This window comes from Homo sapiens, chromosome 21 (assembly GCF_000001405.40).
Source record: "Homo sapiens chromosome 21, GRCh38.p14 Primary Assembly".
Taxonomy (NCBI): domain Eukaryota; kingdom Metazoa; phylum Chordata; class Mammalia; order Primates; family Hominidae; genus Homo; species Homo sapiens.
This window is the reverse complement of record NC_000021.9, coordinates 14,978,293-14,990,544: the sequence shown is the minus strand read 5'-3', so window position 1 is coordinate 14,990,544 and position 12,252 is coordinate 14,978,293. Positions and strand designations below refer to the sequence as shown.

At 36.8% G+C, this 12,252-nt stretch overlaps 1 protein-coding gene across 21 annotated transcripts in view, besides 1 other annotated feature; it reads left to right on the top strand.

The window, feature by feature from the left end:
• Nucleotides 1–12,252, top strand: part of NRIP1 (nuclear receptor interacting protein 1) — a 104,702-nt gene that overhangs the window by 75,392 nt on the left and 17,058 nt on the right. For 3 of the 21 annotated variants that reach the window (NM_001439275.1, XM_017028475.2, NM_001439283.1), the window contains one exon: nucleotides 2,353–2,803. The exons of 16 other annotated variants lie outside the window; for them this stretch is intronic. The gene's annotated coding sequence lies outside the window, so the exon portion shown is untranslated. Of the gene's footprint in view, nucleotides 1–2,352; nucleotides 2,804–11,274; nucleotides 11,345–12,252 lie in introns of all 21 variants that reach the window. 2 more of the 21 variants (XM_047440992.1, XM_047440991.1) reach the window with 1 other exon arrangement.
• Nucleotides 5,595–5,764: an enhancer, noted in NCBI's record as "experimental_61707 CRE fragment used in MPRA reporter constructs". NCBI's record gives its function as "activates a minimal promoter by MPRAs in K562 erythroleukemia cells, with activity observed for the non-introgressed 21:16357187 variant allele {active_cell/tissue: K562}" and the evidence as "EXISTENCE:reporter gene assay evidence [ECO:0000049][PMID:34662402]".

Below are 12,252 nucleotides of genomic sequence, written 5' to 3'. Positions count from 1 at the left end.
ACCTAAATTTTGTATTGGGAAAAGACATTCCCTCTACACTGCCTCATTAATTCTCATCCTTACTCAAGTCTCTTCAACCTTGCTCAAGGCTCATCATCTAGGGCTTGGACAGCCCTAGTCTGACCCAAACTTGGGCATTAGTATTTGCATTGCTTAAAAGTAACCCACCCCGGCCCTCCCTAGTACACAGTTCCCAGCATAAGGAATATGGTGGCATTATATCAGTATCTGAATGCCAGCAATGTTCATGAGTAAGACAGGTAGAAATACATTCAAACTTGAGAAATAAAAGATGGAGAAAAGAAGAAAATAAACCATGTAAGAGGAGGGGTGGAGGGAGGCAGGAAGAGAGAATTGTTGAGAGGGAAAGAGTACATGCTCACCTTCTGGAGCAGCTCTTAGGCTAGTGGCGCTAGAATCGTGACTGAACCCACTTGACGGATGCACATCTGATTCTAGAGTATTCATTAGGAAATACTCTTCCACTTAATAGTCTAGATTTATTGTCATATTTACAAATTTACAAAGTAGGAGAAGTGGGGAAAATGGGCAAGGAAATAAGCTACCTATTCTCTTTCATGTTTCTTTTTTTTTCATGATTAATAAGACCAGTATTTTAGTTTCATTTTCATGTGAAAATGACAAGTTTTTGTTTATTTTCTAGTGGCCCTAGTCTAAATGAATTGTTCTTTTTGAATATGAAACGTGTTTCTTGATATCCAAAAATTTCAGGCTCCCCTCCTCCTCACCTCCACACACACATAGACTATATATGTTCATGTATATTCCATGACTTTGGAGTCAGGGAAACTGCTTGGCTAATATGAACATAAAGATTTGTCTACTTTTAATTTTAATGGAATAGAGGGAACATGATAAAGCAAATTAAACTGTAAAGTTCTTCAACATCAGTTAAGTTTCACACAGCTGCAGGGATAACTTGAGGAAAGGACATGTTCAGCCAGATGGCCTATGCTGGCTTCCTTCCCATTCCTGTGAAAGATATGTTATTCACTCCCAGGGTAGCTCAGGGAAGGAGCTGATTATGGAATTAAAACAACCAATGTCCAATTAACCCCTGTTTTGGTCAACGTTTCCTACACAGTTTGGATAATTGGCATACTTTAGTTTCATCAAGGGAGGCAGTTGGTTTATTGGTTAGTGCAGGCCCCTCGGAATAAGAAATATGAAATTCTGTTGTTGGTTCCGCCCCTACAAACTGTAAGTATGACCTTGGACATCTTATTTACCTCTTTGTGCTGTTAGCTTTCCCCATTTGAAATTCAGAGCCACATGTTGCTCTTTGACCATACGTGAGGTAAAGGCACCATAGGAAAAGTGAGAAAAAAGAGCGTTTGCAGAGTTCTTCAGGACCATGGATTAAAATGTGCAGTTTGTCTTACATAATGTTACTGCAGTATCTTAGGGGTGGTGTGATTACAGGGAACAGAAGCCCCTCAACAAAGCTCAGGTACAGGAGGACTTGTTAGAGGCATGCAGCGAACTCTTCAGGAACCTGGTGATCGGAGTACTTTGCCCCTCCTGAAGCTGGAAAGCCATTCATTCAGCACCTCCCTGCTGTCCCTTCCCTCTCCTCTCCTCTCCTCTCCTCGTTTTGCCTCCCTCATCTCTGCTTCTCTCTGTGTGCTTACTTCAATCTTTTCTCTCAGAATACTGACTCCTCTAGGCACTAATCTGAAATGTGGCCTCATGAAGTCCACTCCAAAATGAAGCTTTCTGTCTCCCTCTGAATTCCAGATGTCAAGAGAGGAAATGATTGGTCCATTAGTTAGGTTCCCAGTGTTGTTCCATTCTCCTGAGGTCTGTGGTTTGGGTATAGGTTCTTAAGAAAAAGGTTTAGGTAAGGAAGAAATTATATGCATCTTTTGTATATGAAATTACTTTTTGCTTTAAGTAAACCTGTCACACAAAATTATGAGTGAAAGAATTAATTACCTAGATTATTAAATTATTTTACAGATCCAAATGCTTTTTCTTTAGTTTTTCAGGATATATATATATATATACACACACACACACACACATATATATATACTATCTATCTATATTATCTATCTATCTGTCTGTCTATCTATCTATCTATCTATCTATCTATCTATCTAAAGACAAAAGACAATCCTAAGCCTCAAGGAGCTTTATATAGGGTGACTAGTAAGTCAAAAAAAATTTTGTTTGAGAAAGTTCTCTGGGCTGAAGCTTTGTCTGTGAATAGTAAAACAATTAACATTCATTGAGTGCTTAGAAAATGTGAGATATTATACTGTTTTACATGTACCTTTTATTTAATACAACAGTTTTATAAGGTAAATACTATTATTATTCCTTTTACAGCTGAAAAAACTGAGCCTCGGAACAGTTAAGTAAATCCACCAAAGTGACCCACTACTGAATAGCAGAGTCAGGAATCCAGAGACTGTTCTTTTCACCACAATGCTTTGTGGCCTTCCTAATAAAAGCAAGAGACTGACACTGGCAGAGACAAGATTTTAGAGTGGGAAAAGTAATCCAGAATTCTCAGAGTGCTGCATAAATTTTGCTTTACGAAAAGTTTTCAAATCCACATTTGTTACAGTCTGTGGCAATTGAATATGATAGGAAAGACTGTGTTCCAGAAGACCTTGACGTGGTTTTGGATCAGGCATTTACTGGATAATTAACCAACCACTCAGTTGTTCTGAGCTTTAGTGCCCTGGTAACATGGGAATGAGGATAAATAATGTATTAACCAACCCCGTGAGGAGAATCAAAGACAACTCTATCCTAGTATTTCATTCGAGGAAGGGTGAGTATGGCTTAAAGCACCTGTGATAAAGCAGGGCTTTTAAAATGTAAAATACACTTTGTAGGAATCAACGGTCAGTGACAAGAGCTCCCAGGAGGTTTTATACACTGTTTTGGCCAGTCAAGAATTTGTAAAGAATTGCATCTCTGCAGCACCCACCACAGACTGGCCCCAGGAACATTTGTCTTCCTTTGATTGCCCTTTGCTAAGCCCCTGTCAACAATGGGTTTTCACTATCTTATCTTGGCCTTAACAAGGTGACAGACCTGGTCAGTGGAACCTGGCAGCAGGTTTCTAATGTTTGAAAGGTAACTGATGGATTAGCCTTGTTTTTTGTGTCCCCAAAAAGACCAATAGTCAGACTAAAACTCAACAGATTATAGCTCAGTGCAAGGCAGAATTTCATACTGTTGGAGTTACGCAAGGAACTCTTACTGAGCAGCGACTCTGTGGCTAGGCTATGTGAGCATTACCACATTTGTTCAGCCCAGGGGCTCTATGAAACAGGTATTAGTGCTTTTGCACGTTTAATAATGATAAACTTTCAAGAGTAGCCAACTTTCCTATGATCAAAGAGTTGGTAAATGGTAGAGCCGGAATAAATTGAACCCAGAGCCATCCGTCTCCAAAAGACCACCTTGGAAGATAGTTCATGGTCACTAGAGGTTTTTAGAAATAAGCTAGATATCCAGAGATAGCAAATGGGTTATAAAGGGGATTAAGCATCAGACAGGATGATTGATTAGGCAGATGACTTTTCAACTGCCTCCCAACCTTTAAATTATGATTCTGTCATGTTTGGAGAATTACTTTACATGCCATGCTATTATGAAAACAGTAGCCAGTGGCAAAATTATTAGAGGAAAATAGATTTCACCTCATAAAAATTAGCTGCCCTTCCAATTGGATACAAGTTCTTTAAATTTGTGTAATCTGGTATTATGAAGGATAAGATGTTTGTAAGTTTAGTTTAAGTCGTTAGTTCAAATGAATAAAATATATGCCAAAAATCTCCGTTTTCTAATTATAGACAAGGAAATTTGATTTGATGTGTCATATATTTAAAACAAATACCTAAACAATTGCCTAAATAAAAGAGTGTCTTAACTATGCATTTTAGAACACTAGGTTTCTAAATCTTACCCATTCACAGCAAAGTGAGATCTTTTCTGGACCCACATGACTTTTTAGCCTTCTCAGACCTGAGAAATGTTATTAAAGTTTAATATTATGCCATAAGGCGAGAGTGGATCTGAAACTCTTTGAAAGAGGTCAAAGGAGTGATTTGTCTTGATTTTATGTTTCTACTAATGGTAACATGCTAATATGGTAAAAAGTTGAAAGCCGTGGCAATGACACGTGAGTCGTCTTGCATCAGTATTCAAGACTTATTTGGGTAATGGTTGTTGTTGTTGAATTGGTTTTTAGTTTTTCAGGTTTCAGTTATTTAAAAGGGAATTTCACTACTTTTTTCATAATTAATCACTTTAGTTAAGATACTGTTTTTATTTAGCCATATTCATTGAACATTCATACTTGAAGCTCTTCAACAAATACAGATTCAAATTAAAAAGATCATTCCAAGAATAGCTTTGACCAATTTGATTTAATCTTTATCACACATTTAAAGGGCTCAAATTCTTTGGCATATAATTATTATCTGCTTCAATGATTGATTTTTAAAATGGGCACAGAGAAATAGTTTAATTGTGGTTGATACTGTAAAAAAATAAATAAATAAAAAGCCTTTCTTGCATAAAGGCTTACTTTGCCTATTTCATTGTAACTTATTTTTTAGAATGAATGTCTGGTTTTAGAGACTAAATCTTTTGATGTGATACTTCATTTCTTAATATCTCCATCAAAAGAAAATGTAACAAAGTAGTATTTTAATGTTAACTGGGTTTTCATCTTTATCTAGGGGAGGTAATTTGAAAAGGAAAAATGATGAAAAGCTTGATGGAACTGGTATTTTGAAGCATATACTCATTCTTGATATAACCTAAATCCATACCAGATCTTACTAACCTTGACATGGGAAACAGCAACTAAAAGAAACCAAATTAGTATGATCAGTTCTTCATAAACAAGTGGTAAAATAAAGATCATCTTACAAAAACTTTAAAATACTCTAAAAATATGTATATTTTTAAAATACTTTGCCAGGCATGGTGGCTCACACTGGTAATTCCAGCACTTTGGGGGGCCGAGGCGGGTGGATCACTTGAGGTCAGGAGTTTAAAACCAGATGATAGATGATAGATAGCTGGCTTAAATCTTGTGGGTTTTCTACCATAATATTAGTCACGCATGTTTTCTAAACCCACAGAACTCTCTGTAGGATAAAATACTTTTTTATTCTTTAATTTTGTGCCTTTTTATTAATTTATATTCCAGGGAAAAAGATATATTGGATCTGAAACCATCATTTTAAATAACATTGTCATATCATTTTAATTCTCCTATTTCCATAGAATTATGACAGCCCACTCCTTATTTTGCAGACCAAGGCTCCAAAAGGTTTACTTGCTGTTTACAGCATGTTCTACTAGGAATGCTGCCTCTGCTAGGTGCTAAGATGTAAAGATGAAAAAGACATAATTCTTGCCCATAAGGAGTTTATACTCTCATGGGGAACCAGGCCTTAACGAACCAAAACACAAGCATACCTCAGAGATATTGCAGGTTCAATTCCAGACACTGCAGTGAAATGAATACCTCAGTAAAGCAAGCACATTTTTTGGTTTTTCAGTCCATATAAAAGTTACGTTTACACTATACTGTAGTCTGTTAAGTGTGCCATAGCATTATGTCTAAAAATAATGTGCATACCTTAACTTAAAAATACCTTATAGCTAAAAAAATACTAATGATCCTCTGAACCTTCAGAGAACTATAATCTTTCTTCTGGTAGAGGCCTTGCCTCCATGTTGATGGCTGCCGAAGAATCAGGGGGAGGTTGCTGAAGGTTGGGGTCTCTGTAATGATTTCTTAAAATAAGACAACAATGAAATTCGCCACGTTGACTGACATCCTTTCATGGAATATTTCTCTGTAGCATGTGTTGCTGTTTGATGATAGCATTTTACCCACAGGAGAACTTCTTTCAAAAAGAGTCAATCCTCTCAAACCTCCTACTGCTTTATCTACTAAGTTTATATTTACAGAATATTCTAAATCCTTTGTTGTTTTTTCAACAGTGTTCACAGTCTCTTCACCAGAGTAGATTCCATCTCAAGAAACTGCTTTCTTTACACATGTGTAAGAAGCAACTCCTCAGGCTCGGTGTAGTGGCTCATGCCTGTAATCCCTGCACTTTGGGAGGCCGATGTGGGAGGATCACTTGAGCTCAGGAGTTGAAAAAAAAAAAAAAACCCGCAACAACTCCTCATTCATTTATGTTTTATTATGAGGTTACAGAAATTTACCCACATCTTTAGGCTCACTTCTAGTTCTTTTGCTTTTTCTACCACATCTGCAGTTGCTTCTTCCACTGAAGTCTTGAATTCCTCAAAGTCATCCATGAAGTTGCAAATGTTGATATTTGACCTCCCCTCATGAATCATGAATGTTCTTAATGACATCTAGAATGGTGAATCCTTTTCAGAAGCTTTTCAGTTGACTCTGCCCAGATCCAATCAGAGGAATCACTTTTGATGACAGCTAAAGCCTTAGAAAATGTGTTTTTCCAATAAGATATGAAGTCAAAATTACTCTTTGATCCATGAGCTGCAGAATGGATGTTGTGTTAGCAGGCATAAAAACAACATTAATCTCCTTGTACAACTGCAGCAGAGCTCTTAGTGTACAGGTACATGGCCTGTAATATTTTGAAAGGAATTTTTGTTTTTGTCCAGTAGGTCCCAACAGCGGGCTTAAAATATTCAGCAAATCATGGTGTAAACAGATGTGCTTTCCTCCAGGCTTTGTTGTTCCATTTATGTAGCAAAGGCAGAGTAGATTTATCGTCATTTTTAAGGGTTTAGGATTTTTGGAATGGTATATGAGCATTGGCTTCAACCTCAAGTTCCAGCTTCATCAGCCTTTACCAAGAGAGTCAGTCTTTCCTTTGAAGCTTTGAAGCCAGATATTGACCTCTCTCTAGCTATGAAATTTCTAGATGGAATCTTCTTCCAATTTAAGGCTGTTTTGTCTCTATTGAAAATCTGTTGTTTAGTGTAACCACCTTCATCATTTATCTCACTCAGCTGGATCTTCTGGCTTTTCTTGCTGAGCTTTTCTGTCAGCATTTGCTGCTTCCCTTTGCAGTTTTATTGTTTTCTCCCTTAAATCGTATGAGCCACCTCTGCCGCTTCCTCACCTCTCTCAGTCTTCATAGAATTGAAGAGAGTTAGGGCCTTGCTCTGGATTAGGCTTTGGTTTAAGGGAATGTAATAGCTGGTTTGATCTTAAATCCAGACCACAAAAGCTTTCTGTATGTCAGCAATAAGGTTGTTTTGTTTTCTTATCATTCATGTGTTCACTGGAGTGACATTTTTAATTTCCTACAATAATTGTTTTTTTTTTTTGTATTTGCAATTTGGTTAACTGGTGCAAGAGGCTGAGCTTTTGGCCTGTCTTGGCTTTCAACATCCTTCCTCACTAAGCTTAATCATTTCTAGCTTTTGATTTAAAGTGTGAGACATGCAAAACACACAGAGGCCATTGTAGGGTTATTAATTGATCTAATTTCAATATTGTTGTGTCTCAGGCAATAAAAAGGACTGAGGAGAGGGAGAGAGATGGGAACAGCTAAGTGGTGGAGCAATCAGAACATACATATTTATTAAGTATGCTGTGATATGGGCACAGTTCATGGCACCCCAAAACAATTATAATAGTAACACCAAAGATCACACATCACCGTAGCAGATAGAATAATAATGAAAAAGCTTGAAATATTGTGAGAAATACCTAAATGAGACATAGAGCTACAAAGTGGGCACATGCTGTTGGAAAAGTGGTACCAATAGACTTCCTCAACAGAATTGCCACAAATCCTTAGATTGTAAAAAAAAAAAACAAAAAAAAAACAAAAAAAAACCCCACAATAATGGCAAAGTACAATGAAGCAAAGCACAATAAAATGACGTGTGACCGTACAGTTTTGTAAGCAAGATGATTGAAAGATCTACTGAGTGCCGTGGAGTCACAGAGAGGAACAACTACCCTCAGGCTATGGAGTTCAGTGAAGGCTGCCTAAAGAGAGGATGAGTTGTCAGCTGAGACTTACAGAATGAAAGAAATGTCCTAGTTGTTTAGCTTGACTGTAAACAAATGGGGCTTATTACAGGATTCTGTATGCATTTTTAAGTCTGATGTATTTTTCCTCAAAAGATGAGGATGGTAAGGATGATATGGGGGGAAGGGCACTAAGCAGAAGGTTCTTTATTCTTCTTACTGCCCTGTTTCTCCCCTGCTGTCTTATTTATAACCTCTTGTTTAATGACAAGAATTTCTATAGAACAAATTATATATTTTATATAAATGTGATAATTGAAATCAAGGGAAAGACCAAAACACAAAGCAAAATATAAACAGTGGGAAATTCTGATGTAAAGATTTAAGTAACTTAAGAGTTGAATGAACTAGGACCGAGCATCGTGGCTCATGCCTGTAATCTCAACACTTTGGGAGGCCAAGGCAGGAGGATCTCTTGAGCCCAGGAGCTTGAGACCACCCTGGGCAATATGGTAAAACCCGTCCCTACAAAAATCAAAAGTTAGTCAGGCATGGTGGTGTGTGCCTGTGGTCCCAGCTGCTCAGGATGCTGAGGTAGGAGGATCGCTTGATCCTGGGGAGTCGGAGGTTGTGCTGAGCTGAGATGGCGCTGCTGCATTCCAACCTGGGTGACAGAGCAAGACTCTGTCTCAAAAAAAAAAAAAAAAATCAAATGAACTACTAAATAGTGAAGAGATCAATATAGTATATATGTACTATTCCACACATCATTCTATCTCAAGACAAAAAGCAACAGAAAAATGATGAGAGATTTTCATTAAAGATTTTAGTTTTCAGTGTTAAAGTGATTTAATTTTATTAAATGATGCTAATAGTAGGAAGTAAGTAGTTGTTTTTAATGTTCTTTATTGTTAAGAGAAAAGTTGTTCTGAAACATTTTTGGTCCAACAATTGAAATCACAAAAGCCCTGACCCACATTCCCTAGACCGCTAATCTGCCTCTGTCTCCTCAGCACACCGGAGTCATCCTCTAAAGCCTCCTGAGTCTCCCCAACCTGGGTCTGTATCTGACTATGAGTGGCAGGTGCCATGCCAAGGAGCATGTGTCACTGTCCCTGCTGCACAGGCAGAACGTGCCCTAAACCTGGACAACAGCAGAACTGGTTCTCAGATTAGCATTTACTGGCTATTGTTCCTGAGATTAGTACTTCAAACACTTGGTTGTATGGATAGATGGGCAAATAAGAGATCAGGGTAAAGCACGCACCGCAGTTTCTTCAATAAAAATAAATAAAACCATTTAAAGTAAGTAAGTGGCCTGCTGATGGTGTGCTGGTAGCTTCATTTTCCAAGTTGACAGACATACTTTAATGTTACCTGTGAAAATTTAAAGACATAGAATTTCTGCAGGTACATTGTGCATGTAGTATTTTTGGTTTTGATTCCTTAATCCTGTAGGATGGGACCTAGTCAGATTTATTGACTCTTCACAGGTATCACCACCATGTCTGGGTGCTCATGAATTGTGTCTGTAGTGATATTTCTCTTCCACAGCTTGACTGGAAACTTCTATCTAGATATCTTTGTGTTTGGAGCCTGTAATGACTAGAGTGATGTCATATAAGTCATTTCAATAGTATTTAATTTGATAATTTGACATAATTTTTCTTTTTTACTTTATTTTTGAAAAACTAGCAATCTTTCTAGGATAGTAAATTTTGGGTTATTTTCATGCAAAGGTATTTAATTTATCAAAAATATGAAAAACCACTAATTGAGAACATTTACATGTACATATAGCATAAGTAGTTTGCAAATTGTATAAAGCTACAGCAGGTGGTACTTGATTTAGCAAGGAAAGCTTTTATAGTGTAAATTTACCCCAACAGCTTTATGCATCCTTCAAAATGATTTCTTGACCAGAATGCTTCAGTAAGAACATTGATCACATAACTCTTGGTTTCATAAATGTAACTTAAAATAAATTTAACATCTTGTTTAAACAGCTAAAACAAAAGGCATGATTTTGTTAGATAATTGCATATATGTATGTATTTATTTTATTTTTATTTTATTTTATTTTATTTTGATACGGAGTCTCGCTCTGTCACCCAGCTGGAGTGCAATAGTGCGATCTTGGCTCACTGCAACCTCCGCCTTCCAGGTTTAAGCGATTCTCGTGCCTCAGCCTCCTGAGTAGCTGGGATTACAGGCTCATGCCACTGTGTCCACCTAATTTTTGTATTTTTAGTAGAGACAGGATTTCACCATGTTGGCCAGGCTGGTCTTGAACTCCTCCCGCCTCAGCCTCCCAGAGTGCTGGGATTACAGGTTGAGCCACCACATCTAGCCTGCACTAATATATTTAATAATATATTCCTTTAAGAATCACTTTTTGTTTTTGTCATTGTTGATAACTAAAGTTTCTTTTGATCCCTGTGATTTGAAAATTGTTGTGGAAGACTATGGATAAATTATAAAACTTCTTTTGTTGAAGCAGTGACTTACAAGTTAAGTCTGTGTTTTTGGGAACAAGTGACCCAAGGCATTGCAGAGCATACTACTAATTTCAGTTTCAGATGGGTCAAAAGCTTGGAATTATGAGAGAGCATTATCTATTCAGGGAACTGCAAGTTAAGTTAATTTTAAAATTGTCACATGGCAATGATCAGTTATAACAAGCAAACAAATAAAAGTGCAAGCATATATATATACAGGCACACAAACACATAAAAATTCACAATTCTGGCCGGGTGCAGTGGCTCACACCTGTAATCCCAGCACTTTGGGAGGCCAAGGCAGGTGGATCACGAGGTCAGGAGTTCAAGACAAGCCTGGCCAAGAAGGTAAAACCCCGTCGCTATTAAAAAAAACAAACATACTGGTTTCTCCTCTTATTCTTGATCCAATGCAATATATTTAACAAAACATACTTTATAATAAGAAGTGCATGAAGATCTTGACTTCAAAGATGGGGAACATTTTTAAAACAGAGTATATACTATGTGGGTAAGTGCAGAGTGTCTAAGTGTACTAAAAACCCTAGGAGCTTTGATCAAAAGCCAGCTGGTTACATCAGTTCTGTTGGTAATCTTTCTTGCTGATCTGTGACCTTGACCTTGTGCTTGTGTCTGTATGTCAAATCTATTTTAGGGATGGGGAAACCATAGTTGAGTTTAGTAGGATTGATGCTCCCATCTCAAAGGATATCCCTGCATATATACTATAAACACTCAAGCAATTCCAGAAGAAGAAAGATCCATTTTCCATTACATTTCTTATTTTGATAGAGATTGGAAAATATTATGCTCTTGAAAACTGATAGAAAGCACCAGTTACTCCAAAGAGCTGTTGAGAAAGGTGAGAAGCAAACACTCTCTGTTAATTTTGTATTTACACTCTTTTCTTATACTTATGTGCTGCCAAAATAATTTGTTAATGATTATTTTGTGTTCATTAAGAAAAACTATTGTTTCTTTGATAACAGTAGAAGGTAGTGAATAGACATTAGTACTAATCATAAATAGGTATGTACTGTCTGTCATGTAATAGTTTTCTGGAGCTTTAAAAATTGTAGGTAAAATTAACTTTATTTAACAATTTTCCAGTGTCAGTATTTTCAAGACAGAGTGAAGTACAGCATCCAGAAATGTATTGTGTTTTTGAAATAGAAATTGTTTGGCAGTTTAGCTCTTTCTCTAGCTCCTTTGTCTAGATCTTTGATTTTTAACTTAAAATCTCCAACTTTTTCATCTTAATTTTGTTTAAAAATTAAATGTTTTTAAGATTAACTATAGAGGCAGTGTAAAATGAATAGCAAATTTATTGAATCCGATTCATATACCTAGGCCTTCTGAGGAGAATTCAAAACAAAGAAGCCCTTCTTTATTTTGCCGTATCAATTATGGGGTGTTTCTTTCTGTCACCAGAACGGTTATTTCATCTGTCTCTTTTATTTGTGTCATCAAAGATCTTAAATCTTTGTGATTATCCTCCATTTTATTCAGTATATAGCTGTTATGAGATAAGCAAAAGTTCCAATTTGAATATAAGCTCATATTTAGCTTTTAAATAAACATCTGTTTGCAATTCTGTGACCCTACAGAAGAAAGTTGTGAACATAGATACCTTTTGGGGCATTAGGTGGGTTGAGTGTGTGGCTATTTCAAAACCATTTCCTTCCCCCGGAATTTATTGAAAAGACAGTAAAACATATTGGTCAGGGCTATTTCCACAACTTTATGACAGCATATCATCTTTCTCGTTAA